This window comes from Homo sapiens, chromosome 2, assembly GCF_000001405.40.
Source record: "Homo sapiens chromosome 2, GRCh38.p14 Primary Assembly".
Lineage (NCBI taxonomy): Eukaryota > Metazoa > Chordata > Mammalia > Primates > Hominidae > Homo > Homo sapiens.
Window position 1 is genome coordinate 97,583,753 of NC_000002.12, and position 16,962 is coordinate 97,600,714.

The following is a 16,962-nucleotide window of genomic DNA, read 5'->3' on the forward strand; positions in this document are numbered from 1 at the left end:
TAGTAAATATTAGATTTACTATATTAAAATCTTCAGGGGATATCCTAGACTTAGAGATTTGCTTTTAATTTCCCCAGGTTACTGCCATGCACAATTCTAACTGCGAACCAGCACAGTTGATAATCACTTCAGTCTCATTTCTCACCCACGTGGCAAATTCCCTTTATCGTTTGGGATTTGGCCGAAAAGAGGAAAGAGCAAAAGATAGAGCCATTCACTGAAGACTTCATTTACTTTTCCTGGGTAGGGGTAGGGAAGAGACTAGTAAGCTCAAAATCCAACTTGATTTTACTATTTATAAGCTCCGTATCTCCCACCTGCCCATCAAGACATTCTGGACTTGAGAGTAGAGTTTAGATGCTTATCTGAGTGGCTGTTTCTGCCAGAATTGAATAATGTCCATTAATTATGTGTTCTTCTCTCTGCTGAACTGTGTGCCGCTTCATCACCACTATTCACTGCCAACCTGGTTTCCTCAGAGTCTTACCAAAATTGATCCCTGGGCAATTTCACAACTCACAAACTCTTTCCCAAAGTAAGAATAATCATCCCCAAAACTGAAGCGATCTTTGTCTAAACATATAAATTGAAAACAAACAACAAAACACACAAAAACCCTCTCCACAGTATTTTCCCTCATTACCTAATTTCCAAATTAGCTTGTGCATTTCTGATTGCTCTCCTTTTCTTCATTTTTCCCTCTTAAGCCTTTCCACAGAGGAATCACTTTCAAATGAAATCACCTTCACATACAACACTTGTCAACAGCAACAACATGTACATTTATTGTGAAATTCTTTAATTTTCTTTGACATTTAAAATAAAGCCTATTTATAAGGGACAATTTTACTTTCCTGTGTCACTTCACACTGATTAGAAAAAAAGTAATTTAGTGGAAAAACACTTAACTATTACCTTTCCCAAATTCAGTTGTCATGAATTATAAATTTATTGTAATTCATTTGTTTTTATAGTTATTTACCATAAGTGCATGAAAAAAGGCTGTTCCCTATAATGCTTCTTTAAAAGTTCCAATATTTAAAGTAAAATCTTAGACAGTTAAGGCATTTCAAAATATTTTCATTCAAGGAATGTTTGAGCTTCCAAATATGAAAAATTGACCCTTACATGTGTCAATGTTAAAATAAATGCATTTCAGATAGTTTGAAAATAACATTGGTTGACCTATACCTTGCTGCATTCTTCAATATTTGTACCATGTGAAAGAAGTTTTTCTATCATGGATGTATCTTCATTATACACAGCGTAGTGCAGAGCAGTCCTTCCAAAGACATCCGTAATATTTGGATCGGCGCCATTTTGCAGCAGAAGAGTTGCACAAGCCTCCTGCCTCAGTTGTACAGCCTGTCAGTATTAGACCGAGAAACATGCAAATACTGAAAAAATCAAAATAAACACTCCGTAGGATTTCCTACTAGTTATATGGTGGTATTCCAATGAGATAAATTCATTTTATCCTATGTACTTCAACCAAATCCATCTCATGCTCAAAGAGTCAGCTACTATGTACCTTGATCAGAGGTGTCCTGTCTTCACGGTCGCAGAGGTTAAGCTCACATCTTCTGGACACCAGGAGATGTACCATTTCCGGTTGGCCAGTGGCACAGGCCAAATGTAGGGCAGTCCTGTGAGAGTGACAGGACTTTTTAAAACATGTAACTGTAAGCATTAATTAGCATGTTATTTCTCTGTCTTCAAAACAAATATGTAATTTTCTTGTGAAGAAAGTACAACATTTGTTAGCGCTTATTACTCACCACATTAATGAAAGAGCAGGCTATTTAATAGAAAAGGCTTGGCTTTTGGATTCAGTTTAATTGGGGCTTAAAATTTACTGTAAGCTCTGTCACTTAGCTGTTATTTAGCCTTTCTTTGCTTCAATTTCCTTATCAATAAAATATGTAAGAGAATAGTAGCTAGCCCACAGAACACTGCTGTGATGCTTACATAAGAATCTATGCACAGCATTTAGAACACTTTCTAACACAAATAACAGCTCAATAATTTTTAGATATCACTACTTACAAAGACAAAGACATTTTAATTAAGTAAAATGATACAATCATATCTACATTGAGGTATCTATTAAAGATTAGATGTATCATTGTATTTCAGTCATTCTCAGATGCTCATTTTCTCACTATTCTCTTATATAAGCTACTATTCTCTTATATATTAACATCTCCTGACATTGGAAAACTGTTTACAATTCATTATTTATTACATTTATAACTGGCAACATTTTAAACATTATCTTATCGATATATAAAGTAATGTGGCATCACCCAATCCGTGATGCCTTACATTAAGTGGGATACAGTTCATAGAACAGGCAGTTCTATTCATATAATTGGCACCTAAATGAAGTACTGTGGAAAAAGAAGGCAAAAATAAAAAAACAAATTTTTAAAACAAAGTAATTCTTACTTCAACTTTCAAAAAAAAATAATCCAAAGAAAACTCAGGATTCAAATGAATAGGTATGGCTCATTTTTTTCAATACTTACAGAATGTTATGTAAATTAGGTATTTGCAATGATTAATAGTAGTATTTGAGACTGTCATAAGTTTTTGAAATGGCAGTTAAAGGTTATCTTTCACTATTTTCTAACTTCAGAATTGCTTTTGTTTAAAAAAAAAAAAAGGAATAAAAGATCCAACTGGGATTCAGTCCTAATGCTTCCATTTTAAATCTCAGCTTGCTCAGGCTGGGCAGGTAAACATGAAGTTGTTAAGGGTGGAAGAGTCCTGAGAGATGGTGGAATGTGTCTGCTACATAATAGGTATTCAGGTTATGCTTGATGAATAACTGGATTGAAAGAATGCATACATACAGTTGGGAAGTTTATTGTGAAAAAAACTATAAATTAAAGCAGTGCTTTTGGAATAGTGATAATCACTTATATTTGCTCATTTTCATTTTCATGAGGACACTGATAAACTAAAATAATTAATTTAAAATTGTTTCCTTATATGTAATAAAACTATAATAAAAACTTATGTATATACTAAAATCTATGCATAATAAAATAATCAAGCACAAATAAAAATATTCCCTCTGCCTCTGAAGAGGCTAAAAGTTCACAGAAGATACCAATAAACAAAAAAATAAAAATAAGGCCAGGCACAGTGGCTCACACCTGTAATCCCAGAACTTTGGGAGGCCGAGGCGGGGGGATCACCTGAGGTCAGGAGTTTGAGACCAGCCTGGTCAACATGGTGAAACCCCGTCTTTACTAAAATATACAAAAATTAGCTGGGCATGGTGGCGCACACCTGTAATCCCAGCTACTCAGGAGGCTGAGGTGGGAGAATCACTTGAACCTGAGAGGCAGATTGCAGTGAGCTGAGATCATGCCACTGCACTGCAGGCTGGGCGACAGGGTGAGACTCCATCTCAAAAATAAACAAACAAACGAAGAAATTAATAATAAAATAGAAACTGAGAATTTTTTTTCTTTGCAAGATTTATATTTCTTCTTTTCCCAAGGATAATTTCATTAATAAAAAACATTTACTAGAAGTTTTAAACATGCTGATCATTTATACATCACAGATAAGAAAAAATATCACAATACACCTGCCAGAAAAGAAGAAATGTTATATTTTGTACACATATTTGGCTTACTAACACCATAGATTGTTTGTGTGTATGTATAATCAAACCAACTTTTTTTCAGAGTACATCTTCACACCTCAACATACATCTGTATCTACTGACATCTGCAAAGGTCCCATATTGTCCCATCCTATGGATGCACTGAAATTTATTGATAAATTTATAAAATTTATAAAATCCACTATAAGGGGTTTTCCAAATACACTGCTATTTTAAGCAGTGCTGAGAAAAACAAATTGCATGTATCTCTATTTCCTAGAGATATTTTAGTATAACGGAATTGATGGGTGAAGGGCACATACATTTTTACAGTGTGATACTTACCAACAAATTGTCTATTTGAAAAGTCATCAGAAATGTAAACTTTCAACAGCAGTATATGTACTGCTACCCTTTACCCTCACAAACTTGTGGATAGAAAACAGTATTTCATTCTTTTTTTAACTTAAATACCTTCTCCTCCCAGGAACACTAAATATTTTTTCCCATGTGCATAGGTTGCTTGAATATCTGAAAAATAAATGCTTTGCTCTATTTTAAATGAGAGTTCTTGTTTATTTGAAGAATTCTCTGTAAAATGAAAATCACTTTTTTATCTAATATGTATACACACATATTGTCTTTTGTTAATTTTTTCTTATAAACTGGATTTTTTTTATTTTGCTAAATCGACCTTCAGAATGTGTGCTTGTGATATTTGTAGGAATATAAACATGCATCAATATAAGTAGGCATTTGTGTTTTTTTCTGTTATCTTTCTTATTTTGTGCATTTAAAATTTTTAATCTACATTCCATAACGAACTTATTTCTGTGACATGAAAATCTAGCCAGATTTCTCCAAATAGTTAGCAGGCACTTCATTTATGAGTAATTCATCTTTTCCTACTAATATGAAATGTCACCATTATCCAATTCTATTAGATTGGTGCAAAGGCAATTGCGGTTTTCGCCATTACTTGTAATTGCGGCAAAAACCGCAATTGCTTTTGCACCAACCTAATATATTCTTACACATATTGGTGTGTTCCTGGATTTTCTAACCTGTTCCATTCACTGATTTGTTGTTTCAGCTGTTAGTAAATAACTTGTGGAAATTAACAGCACATTTTCATATCTAGAAAGGCAAGTCTTTTTTGACTCCATTTCAAAAGTTTTCTTAATGTCGTCACAATAGTAAAAGACAGCATGAGTAATTCAAAAATGTTAACACTTTGATAACTTTATTTGGATTATGTAAAATTTATAAACACAGAAAGAGCTCAGAACTTTAGAAAAATGTGTCTTTCTATTCAAGAACACAGACCATCTTCCCACTTCAAAGTTTCCCTCTAAGGTCCCTCAGTGAAAACCAAATTGACATAGGTGTCCATTGATATCAAATAAATATTGGATTTTTATCCAAAGAATTTTTAGCCAGGAAGTTGATATATTATGGAAATGATTTCTCTCATTATGCACCTTTCCATAATGTATGTAACATTATGCTTTAAAATGTGCACGTTAAAAATAAAACGCTGTACATGCTGAATTTTATTAGTGAAATCACTTTAAAATGATTTATAAAGAAGCAGCATGGTGAGTGATTGGAAACCAGCTGAAGTTTTGTTTTTGTTTTGCTGCTTGTGAAAATGACCTGGGTGCTCGCCCCCGCCAAGGTTTCCACATCCCAGGTGCGGCTGAGCCTGCCAGGAAAGAAAGTCCAGCCCCTTTGGTGACAGGACTCGCCCCCCTCACCTCTGCACCCCTTTCCCCCACCCCATTCACCCCCACACCTCACCCCCACCTCCAGTCCTCTATCCCATTGAACCCTCACCCCATCTCCCCACCCCACACCATCCACGCCCCTACCCCCCAAGCCTTCATTCCATCCACCTCAGCCCATTCACGCCCCCACCCCATGCACCCCCTACTCCCCACTCCCATCCCCCAACTCACTCCACACCCCGCCACCCCATATACCGCCACTCCCCAGGCCCCGCTCCACTCACTCCCACCCCAGCCAGGCACCCCCTAGCCCCCGTCCATACCCCGAGCCCCGGACCATCCGCCCCGCAGCCCTCAGCCTGCAAAGGGGTACTTCTCCACATCCACAGGCCTCCTCCCGCAGCCCCGGCTCCCGGCCCCCATTACCTTTCCTTCCTGTCTCTCTTATTGGCGTCATAATACGTGAGCAGAAGGTACTTCAGTTTCTCCAGATTACCACGTAAGACAGCTCTGTGGATCCTCTTCAGATGATACGGTTTAATGTAGTAATGGGGAAATGCGAAGCCATCCGAGCACAAGCGCTCCATGAGGGTGGGCCACCTCTCCCGCTCGTCGTCTTCCTTAATCGTCGGCTGCAAATTGTAGCCTGCAGCCGTATTTCAGCTCGCCTTCGGGGATCGCCGCCTCCGAAGAGCAACAACAGGCAAAGCAGTCTGTGCACGGACCTCCGCGCAGACTCTCAGCGCCTCCCGCCTCTCCGCAGAAACGCCCAACAGAAGGGTTAGAACCAGCGAGCACGCGCACCTTAGCCGGCCCTGCCCAACAGGCCCGAGGCAGAGAAACCGCCCTAGCAGCTCTCGCGCGCCCGGTGCAGGCGGCGGTTGCTGCGGAGGTGCCGCGGGAGGGCGGGGCTCCCTGGAGCGCGAGGCGCGCCCTGCCCCAGGGCCTGTTTAACTGTCGCCCGCGCGCTCTTCTCTTCCACAGGCTCCCGACGCTCGGAGCCCCCCGCGCTGGGCCCTCTGCAGCCCAGGGATGGGGTTGAGTGGTGCTTCTCCGCCTAGTGCCACCGCTGGGCCCACAGCCCGACATCGCCACTGCGTCGCCCCCGGGGTCCGCGCTGATGGGTGCGAGGCGGGAGGACGGTATCCGGGGTTGCCACAGCTGCAGCCAGCGCACCACTTGCAGGCGGCACTGCAGCTCGGGCTCCGGCGGGGGCTGGCGGGGCTCCCGTGGGATGGCCTCCTGAGCCCTGAGTGCGCCGCCATCCGGCCGGAGGGTGCGCGCCTCCTGCACCCCCGGCCGAAGCCCATGCCCGGCGCTCCTGCCGCAGACTGCCTGACTTGCCGCGGCCAGGCTGGCCCCGGGGTCCGCGCGGCTGGAGGCGCAGGCCTGGTCGGGGATTCCCAATCCTCGGGGACCCCTGCTCCATGTGCTGGTGGCGGCTGCAGCTGCAGCGCCCGTGGGCTGACGTGGCTTCCCGGAGCTGCGGCCGGCCGCGCCCAAAGGCCCCATAGGCTGCGCTGCCCTTGCCAGCTGCTCCTGACCCACGCCCAGAGCGCAGGACCTGGCGCTTGGCACTCCGCAGCCACCGGGATGAGGCTGAGCGCCGGTTTTCGGCCTCGTGGCGCCGCTGGGGCCACAGCCTGACTTCACCACCCCGTCGCCCAAGTCCTGTGATGGGCAGGTGTGAGGAGGGGCAATCGGGGTTCCCAAGGCTGCTGCTGCCTGCATGCCACTCCGTGAGGAAGTTGAAATACGTGATCTCTAAGAGTCCTCCCAGTTCTTCACCTAAGACAAATATAAATCAAGTAACATTCGCTATTGTGATTAGAAAAGCTGCATTTACAGACGTTAGCCACTAGATGGGGACGTGCGATTGTTACAGGGCTGAAGGCCTATTTATTTTTTATTTGGCCGCTAGAGGGCACGCCTGCACTGCACTTAAAGTTGACTACTTTTAAGGAAAGACAAAAGAATTCTTGGATTTCTCCATTTTCCTCATCACCTGTGCTTATCAGAGAATTCCAGGGGCAAGCTACCCTTTCCAATTCATCACTAATTTATAAACAAAATTCTAAGGAGTAAGGAATGCTTCTTACTTCCTATAACATATGTAAGAATGAACGCTCAAAATAAAAGTAATTTATTTAAAACTTGTGTTGAGTAATTATAACTGCAAAATTTTTGCCCATGTTTTTCATATGCTGTTCATTTGCAAATTATTAGAAATCTACATATTCTGTTCATCTCAGCATTATTTATAACAGGGAAAAATTAGACACTAGCCAAAAATCTAAAAACAGGGAACAGTAAGGAAAAAGCAAATGGTTCTTTAATCATCATCACTAAAAGTGGTTGTGACTTAAAATAATGACATAAAAGATGCTTCTCCGCTGTTGAGTAAAACATCAGGATAAATTTAAAATTCTATTTCAAGCTTAACTATATTCATTTAAAAAGAGAAAAGAAATTTTAGAGAGTTTATCTTGTTGGATTATCAGATGTTATTTTTCTCTTTTTAATGCCATATACTTTTCAAATTTTCAGTGGGCTGCTATTACTTTTGTATTTAAAAAAGAAAAATATAAGGAAAAAGAAACCTGTCACACACTTTCTAGTGGATTTTACTGATCAGTCATCTCTGTATTTCTGGCATCACAAACTGAGCCAGAAACTCAGTGCCTCCCATTTCTTTTTTTTTTTTTTTTTTAGACGGAGTCTTGCTCTGTCGCCCAGGCTAGAGTGCAGTGGCTCAAACTTGGCTCGCTGCAACCTCTGCCTCCCAGGTTCAAGTGATTCTTCTGCCTCAGCCTCCCAAATAGCTGGGATTACAGGTGCCCGCCACCACACCCGGCTAATTTTTGTATTTTGGTAGAAACAGGGTTTCACCATCTTGACCAGGCTGGTCTCGACTCCTGACCTTGTGATTCACCGGCCTCGGCCTCCCAAAGTGCTGGGATTAACAGACCTGAGCCACCGCGCCAGGCCAAGTGCCTCCCATTTCTTGTATTCACCTTTAAAACTCCTGCAATGAAGGACTCCCTCCTCCCTCATCTAACCTATTATGTGTGTGGTGAGTTCTGACTATGATATCATTCCTGATGTGAAACCGAAGTCTCTCTCTTCTAAGTCCATCCATTGGTTCAGTTCTGCCTTCTGACAGAGTCCACGCCAGACTTCACATTTCTCCCAATCTTCTTTGTCCTACAAGGGCTTTCTATTCTTCAAGCTAAAGAGATACCAGTGATTCCATTCGTTCATTCAGTTAACATTTAGGGGCCACATCTTGTGCTATGTCCTGAGATTTGCCAATGAGCAGAGCTCAGAGTATTGAAAAGACAAACACATACACCAGGCATTTTACTATGCTGTGTTGTGTGTATGACAGGAGCACACAGGGCATCCAGGCACCAGTGAGAAGGGCCTTTCACCAGACTTGAGAGGTCAGCAAAGGTGCTCTGAGGAAACACCTTCTAAACTGAGAGCTGGAAAGAGTGAGGCAGGAAAGCAGTAAGAGGTAGCGTTCTGAGGAGGAAATCTCCGAGGTGGGACAGGGATGCGTATGGAGAGAATGCCCTTCCCATCCCCACTCTTCATGAAATCTCTACTCTGTCAGGGTCTCTCTGCCCTGTGAGCTGCTTGAGGACAAAGACTGTTTTATAAAAATTTTTATTTCCTCCCTCTGTCTTCCTTAAACACCTAGCCCAGTGCCTGGAACATAAGAAGCCATAATGAATTTTTGTTAGATGAGTGAAGAGTGCTGAGTAGAGCAGAAATGTCACATGCCTCAGTTTAAATATGGGTCATCAGTTTTCTTTCTTTTTTAACATAGAAGTCAAGACTTGATCTCTTACAGCTTCGAGATACCGTTAAAGATATAATCATCCTCATGTATTTGAGCTTTGTTTTCACCCATTATGTTATGACTGCTGTCCATTGTTCCATGACACAATTCTCCATCTTTCTTCATTTTCTTCCATTTCAATTAACTCATTTATTTACATGTGGGAATGGAACATATAACGTAAAATCCACAAGTAAGACTTCCCAGATCCTCAGCTTCTTTCTCTGGCATTAGCCACTGTTTCTACTTTCATGAGCATCTGCTATGGTTTGAATGTATCCCCTCCAGAAATCAAATATTACAAATGTGATAGTATTAAGAGGTGGGGCCTTTTGGGAGGTGATTAGGCTATGAGGGCTCTGCCTTCATGAATAGGATTAGATATGCTTAGAAAAAGGAATGATGGAGGAAGTTAGACTCCTTTTGCCCTTCAGTCTCCTGCCATGTGAGGACACAGCACTCCTCCTCTCTGGAAGATGCAGCCTTCAAGGCGACATCTTGGAAACAGAGACCAGACACTCACCTGACAATGAATCTAATGGCCCCTGGATTTTGGACTTCCCAGCCTCCAGAACTGTGGAAAAAACAAATTTCTGTTCTTTATAAATTACTCAGTCTATGGTATTCTTTTATAGCAGCCCAAAACAGACAAGACTCTAGGAAATCAATTTGTATTCAGCACATCAACAAAATTCTTTACAAATGGGACCCCCCAATAGGTGGGTGTCACTAAAGAGAGGTGCCCATAAGCATGAGACAATGACCACGTGGCATGAGCAACGAACTACGATGAATGAGCACATGTTACCACCACTAAAGAAAAAACTTACATGACTAGATGACAACAAAATAATTTCTTATAATGAATTTCTCATTGTATTTTTTCTTAACCTTCCCTCCATTTAGTCAGGAATCTGGCTCTGACTCACACCTGAAGGACAGACAAGGACTTTTGTTTCCAAAAGCATAAACTGAAAGGAGAACTCGCAGAGTCTACAGAAAAGAGAAAAGACATTTGTCAACAGGGAGTGTTTATTTATCTTTTTTAACTGGAGGGAAAGAGCAGGGATGAGGAGAGGAGATGCCTTCGGTATTGGAGAAAAACAATATTGTAGAGTTTTCCATCCTGGTACTAATAAAATTATAAAGGCCAATAAGAAATGACTGATAGCAATAAAACAAGGAAAGGGGCATAGCCTAATACAGTAAAGAAACTGGTGACTCAAAGAGAGAAAGGAAAAGAACATTCTGGAGCAAAATAGAGAGGGACAGCATTTAGCTCCTAAGTTCCTCTTCCGTCCTCCAGCCCCACCCTCCACATCCACCTCCAAATCCGGTGATTTTGAGCATAGTGAAGCACACTGACACTGAAGGGTGTCCTTATACGATCCTCCCCTTGCTGGTGACTGGTGGAAACAGATGCTGGGGAGAAACAGGAGAAACAAGGTGGAGGGACATCAGGGTGCACTTCCTCTAAGAGAAGTCAAGGCTACACATGGAATGAGGAAAGCAATCCAATGCCCAGGGGAGTCCTCATGGTACTGAAACAGGAAGAGCCATCTGTTGCCCAAGCATTCTAACCAATGCTCAGAGCCCTCAGCTGCCCTTTCCCTCTACTGCCTCCCCATTCCCTTGGGCTACCAGGAAAAGTGGAGATGTTAATGGGCTCCAATCAAAGGCCACCATGAACACACCTGTAGTTGAAGAAGTGAGTTATTACTGGTTAAGTGAGGGAGAATACAAACTACAGGGAACGGTGGGGTGTCTCACTAAGAGGACAACAGAAAGGACTTAGAAGATTTGGGGTTGTGTTAGGCAATAATCTGGGAGAAGGGTTTAAGGAAATGGGGCTTCGTTCTGAATTGGGTGTTGTCACGAAGTGGGGGTAATTCTAGCATAGTAGGGTATCTTAATAAATCTTATGTGGAAAGATGTAAACCTGCATTAAAGCCTTAATGGGTTAAGGCTATAATTGGTAAAGAACGTTAAAGCTGTAGTTGGTGAAGAAACAGTAGTTACTCATCTTAGCTAGAATAGAGACACATTGGTCATTTGTGTGATATGAACAATGCTCATGCTTTGCTCATGCTCAGACATGATTATGAAGAGGTCTTGTTTTTGTCTTAAGTATTGGCACAAAATGATATGGTCTGAAGCAGATGTTCTATGGAATTGTTTATGCTCACAAGAGAACATCAACATCCATCTGTGGGTGCCAGGCAGCTCACAGCATCGCCAATGCCCAGCAGATAGGACCAGGTCAACTCCTGGCTGCCAGACACACCTCTTCTCTTTCTCAGAGGAACACAAAGTACCCAATGCTCATTCTGTAGCTCAACAGGAAAACACATTCTCAGGTGAGCTGGAAAGAAAGTCGCTCATCTAATAATGACACAATTTTAAAAGACTGGTCAATTCAACTACATCAAAGACAAACAAAACAAAATTTTTTGCATGGCAAGAAAAGACTACCACCACAGTCAGAAAACAAATGAAAGAGTGGGAAAATAGGTTTGCAACTTATATCATAGACAAAGGGGTGCTATCTCTAATATACAAATAGTTCTTACAAATTTAGGGGAAATAGACCAACAATATATTGAAAAAATTAAAAAGATACACAGAGAGATTTCATAGGAAAATAATTGGAAGTTGATCTTAAACATGTGAAAAGTTACGCAACATGGCTCATAAGAAGATAAGTGTAAATTAAACATATTTCTATGCTCTGTTGTTAGGTGCATACACACATGCAGGATTGTCATGTCTTCTTGGAGAATTGACTCCTTTTTCTTAGGTAATGTCCTTCTTTATCTATGGTAACTTTTATTGCTCTTTAAGGCTGCTCTGCCTGAAATTAATAGAGATATGTTGGGGGTATTTTTGATAAGTGTTAGTATGGTATATCTTTCTGCATCCCTTTAATTTATGCAGGTGCATCTTTATATTTAGAATGTGTTTCTTGTAGACTACATATAGTTGAGTCCAACTTTTTAATCTACACTGACAATCTCTTTTATTTTATTTCTGTCTTCCCACCTTTTATTTTAGGTTCAAGGGGTACGTGCGAAGGTTTTTTTTTTTCTCATATGATTTTTTATTATACTTTAAGTTCTAGGGTACCTGTGCACAACGTGCAGGTTTGTTACATATGTATACATGTGCCATGTTGGTGTGCTGCAGCCATTAACTTGTCATTTACATTAGGTATGTCTCCTAATGCTATCCCTCCCCCCTCCCCTCACCCCATTGACAGGCCCTGGTGTGTGATGTTCCCCATCCTGCGTCCAAGTGTTCTCACTGTTCAATTCCCACCTATGAGTGAGAACATGCGGTGTTTGGTTTTCTGTCCTTGCGATAGTTTACTCAGAATGATGGTTTCCAGCTTCATCCATGTCCCTACAAAGGACATGAACTCATCCTTTTTTATGGCTGCATAGTATTCCACAGTGTATATTTGCCACATTTTTTTAATCCAGTCTATCATTAATGGACATTTAGGTTGGTTCCAAGTCTTTGCTATTGTGAATAGTGCCACAATAAACATACGTGTGCATGTGTCTTTATAGCAGCATGATTTATAGTCCTTTGGGTATATACCCAGTAATGGGATCACTGGGTCAAATGGTATTTCTAGTTCTAGATACTTGAGGAATTGCCACACTGTCTTCCACAATGGGTGGACTAGTATACAGTCCCACCAACAGTGTAAAAGTGTTGCTATTTCTCCATATCCTCTCCAGCACCTGTTGTTTCCTGACTTTTTTAATGATTGCCATTCTAACTGGTGTGAGATGGTATCTCATTGTGGTTTTGATTTGCATTTCTCTGATGGCCAGTGATGATGAGCATTTTTTCATGTGTCTGTTGGCTGCATAAATGTCTTCTTTTGAGAAATGTCTGTTCATATCCTTCGCCCACTTTTTTGTGGGGTTGTTTGATTTTTTCTTGTGAAATTGTTTAAATTCTTTGTAGATTCTGGATATTAGCCCTTTGTCAGATGGGTAGATTGTAAAAATTTTCTCCCATTCTACAGGTTGCCTGTTGACTCTGATGGCAGTTTCTTTTGCTATGCAGAAGCTCTCTAGTTTAATTAGATCCCATTTGTCAATTTTGGTTTTTGTTGCCATTGCTTTTGGTGTTTTAGTCATGAAGTCCTTGCCCATGCCTATGTCCTGAATGGTATTGCCTAGGTTTTCTTCTAGGGTTTTTATGGTTTTAGGTCTGACATTTAAATCTTTAATCCATCTTGAATTAATTTTTGTATAAGGTGTAAGGAAGGGATCCAGTTTCAGCTTTCTACATATGGCTAGCCAGTTTTCCCAGCACCATTTATTAAATAGGGAATCCTTTCCCCATTTCTTGTTTTTGTCAGGTTTGTCAAAGATCAGATGGTTTTAGATGTGTGACATTATTTCTGAGGGCTCTGTTCTGTTCCATTGGTCTATATCTCTGTTTTGATACCAGTACTATGGTGTTTTGGTTACTGTAGCCTTGTAGTATAGTTTGAAGTCAGGTAGTGTGACACTTCCAGCTTTGTTCTTTTGGCCTAGGATTGACTTGGCAATGCAGGCTCTTTTTTGGTTCCATATGAACTTTAAAGTAGTTTTTTCCAATCCTGTGAAGAAAGTCATTGGTAGCTTGATGGGGATGGCATTGAATCTATAAATTACCTTGGGTAGTATGGCCATTTTCATGATATTGATTCTTCCTATCCATGAGCATGGAATGTTCTTCCATTTGTTTGTGTCCTTTTTTATTTTGTTGAGCAGTGGTTTGTAGTTCTCCTTGAAGAGGTCCTTCACATCCCTTGTAAGTTGGATTCCTAGGTATTTTATTCTGTTTGAAGCAATTGTGAATGGGAGCTCACTCATGATTTGGCTCTCTGTTTGTCTCTTATTGGTGCATACGAATACTTGTGATTTTTGCACATTGATTTTGTATCCTGAGACTTTGCTGAAGTTGCTTATCAGCTTAAGGAGATTTTGGGCTGAGACGATGGGGTTTTCTAGATATACAATCATGTCATCTGCAAACAGGGACAATTTGACTTCCTCTTTTCCTTATTGAATACTCTTTATTTCTTTCTGTTGCCCGATTGCCTTGGCCAGAACTTCCAACACTATGTTGAATAGGAGTGGTGAGAGAGGGCATCCTTCTCTTGTGCTGGTTTTCAAAGGGAATGCTTCCAGTTTTTGCCCATTTAGTATGATATTGGCTGTGGGTTTGTCATAAATAGCTCTTATTATTTTGAGATACGTTCCATCAATACCTAGTTTATTGAGAGTTTTTAGCATGAAGGGCTGTTGAATTTTGTCAAAAGGCCTCTTCTGCATCTATTGAGATAACCATGTGGTTTTTGTTGTTGGTTCTGTTTATGTGATGGATTACGTTTATTGGTTTGTGTATGTTGAACCAGTCTGGCATCCCAGGGATGAAACCAACTTGATTGTGCTGGATAAACTTTTTGATTCAGTTTGCCTGGAATCAGTTTGCCAGTATTTTATTGAGGATTTTTGCATCGATGTTCATCAGGGATATTTGTCTAAAATTCAATTTTTTTGTCGTGTCTCTGCCAGGCTTTGGTATCAGGATGATGCTGGCCTCATAAAATGAGTTAGGGAGGATTCTCTCTTTTTCTATTGCTTGGAATAGTTTCAGAAGGAATAGTACCAACTCCTCTTTGTACCTCTGGTAGAATTCGGCTGTGAATCCATCTGCTCCTGGACTTTTTTTGGTTTGTAGGCTATTAATTATTGCCTCAATTTCGCAACCTGTTATTGGTCTATTCAGAGATTCAGCTTCTTCCTGGTTTAGTCTTGGGAAGGTGTATGTGTCCAGGAATTTATCCATTTCTTCTAGATTTTCTAGTTTATTTGCATAGAAGTGTTTATAATATTCTCTGATGGTAGTTTGTATTTCTGTGGGATTGGTGGTGATATCCCCTCTATCATTTTTTATTGTGTCTATTTGATTCTTCTCTCTTTTCTTCTTTATTAGTCTTGCTAGTGGTCTATTTTGTCGATCTTCTCAAAAAACCAGCTCCTAGTTTCATTGATTTCTGGAAGGGGTTTTTGTGTCTCTATCTCCTTCAGTTCTGCTCTGATCTTAGTTATTTATTGTCTTCTGCTAGCTTTTGAATGTGTTTGCTCTTGCTTCTCTAGTTATTTTAATTGTGATGTTAGGGTGTCAATTTTAGATCTTTCCTGCTTTCTTTTGTGGGCATTGAGTGCTATAAATTTCCCTCTACACAGTCCTTTAAATGTGTCCCAGAGATTCTGATACATCGTGTCTTTGTTCTTATTGGTTTCAAAGAACATCTTTATTTCTGCCTTCATTTTATTATTTACCCAGTAGTCATTCAGGAGCAGGTTGTTCAGTTTCCATGTAGTTGTGTGGCTTTGAGTGAGCTTCTTAATCCTGAGTTCTAATTTGATTGCACTGTGGTCTGAGAGACAGTTTGTTGTGCTTTCTGTTCTTTTACATTTGCTGAGGTGTATTTTACTTCCAATTATGTGGTCAATTTTAGAATAAGTGTGATGTGGTGCTGAGAAGAATGTATATTCTGTTGATTTGGGGTGGAGAGTTCTGTAGATGGCTATTAGTTCCACTTGGTGCAGAGCTGAGTTCAAGTCCTGGATATCCTTGTTAACCTTCTGTCTCATTGATCTGCCTAATGTTGACAGTGGGGTGTTAAAGTCTCCAATTATTATAGTGTGGGAGTCTAAGTCTCTTTGTAGATCTCTAAGGACTTGCTTTATGAATCTGGGTGCTCCTGTATTAGGTGCCTATGTATTTCGGATAGTTAGCTCTTCTTGTTGAATTGATCCCTTTACCATTATGTAATGGCCTTCTTTGTCTCTTTTGATTTTTGTTGGTTTAAAGTCTGTTTTATCAGAGATTAGGATTGCAACCCCTGCTTTTTTTCCCTTTCCATTTGCTTGGTAGATCTTCCTCCATCCCTTTATTTTGAGCCTATGTGTGTCTGTGCACGTGCGATGGGTCTCCTGAATACAGCACAATGATGGGTCTTGACTCTTTATCCAATTTGCCAGTCTGTGTCTTTTAATTGGAGCATTTAGCCCATTTACATTTAAGGTTAATATTGTTATGTGTGAATTTGATCCTGTCATTATGATGTTAGCTGGCTATTTTGCCTGTTAATTGATGCAGTTTCTTCATAGCATCAATGGTCTTTATAATTTGGCATGTTTTTGCAGTGGCTGGTACTGGTTGTTCCCTTCCATGTTTAGTGCTTCCTTCAGGAGCTCTTGTAAGGCAGGCTTGGTGGTGACAAAATCTCTCAGCATTTGCTTGTCTGTAAAGGATTTTATTTCTCCTTCACTTATGAACCTTAGTTTGGCTGGATATGAAATTCTGGCTTGAAAGTTCTTTGAAGAATGTTGAATATTGGCCCCTATTCTCTTCTGGCTTGTAGAGTTTCTGCTGAGAGATCCGCTGTTAGTCTGATGGGCTTCCCTTTGTGGGTAACCCGACCTTTCCCTCTGGCTGCCCTTAATATTTTTTCCTCATTTCAACCTTGGTGAATCTGACAATTATGTGTCTTGGGGTTGTTCTTCCCAAGGAGTGTCTTTGTGGTGTTCTTTGTGTTTCCTGAATTTGAATGTTGGCCTGCCTTGCTAGGTTGGGGAAGTTCTCCTGGATAATATCCTGAAGAGTGTTTTCCAACTTGGTTCCGTTCTCCCCATCACTTTCAGGTACACCAATCAAATGTAGATTTGGTCTTTTCACTAGTCCCATATTTCTTGGAG

At 40.7% G+C, this 16,962-nt stretch overlaps 1 protein-coding gene across 21 annotated transcripts in view, besides 2 other annotated features; it reads right to left on the minus strand.

The window, feature by feature from the left end:
• Positions 1-6,125, minus strand: part of ANKRD36B (ankyrin repeat domain 36B) — a 97,215-nt gene extending 91,090 nt beyond the window's left edge. For 18 of the 21 annotated variants that reach the window (XR_007078917.1, XM_047445328.1, XM_047445323.1 and 15 more), the window contains exons 1-3: positions 5,773-6,125; positions 1,532-1,646; positions 1,192-1,365 (exon numbers count right to left, since the gene is read on the minus strand). Coding sequence is in view for 20 of the 21 variants with exons in the window: in XM_047445328.1 (XP_047301284.1) it covers positions 1,192-1,365; positions 1,532-1,646; positions 5,773-5,933 (450 nt within the window). In the remaining variant the exon portion in view is untranslated. Of the gene's footprint in view, positions 1-758; positions 1,366-1,531; positions 1,647-5,772 lie in introns of those variants that run through there. The other 3 variants (NM_001353337.2, XM_047445336.1, XM_047445331.1) reach the window with 3 other exon arrangements.
• Positions 6,277-6,777: an enhancer, noted in NCBI's record as "H3K27ac hESC enhancer chr2:98206492-98206992 (GRCh37/hg19 assembly coordinates)". NCBI's record gives its function as "activates a minimal SCP1, AML or CMV promoter by ChIP-STARR-seq in primed H9 embryonic stem cells {active_cell/tissue: H9 hESC(primed)}" and the evidence as "EXISTENCE:reporter gene assay evidence [ECO:0000049][PMID:30033119]".
• Positions 6,570-6,759: a silencer, noted in NCBI's record as "silent region_11791". NCBI's record gives its function as "represses an Ori minimal core promoter by ATAC-STARR-seq in GM12878 lymphoblastoid cells {active_cell/tissue: GM12878}" and the evidence as "EXISTENCE:reporter gene assay evidence [ECO:0000049][PMID:35858748]".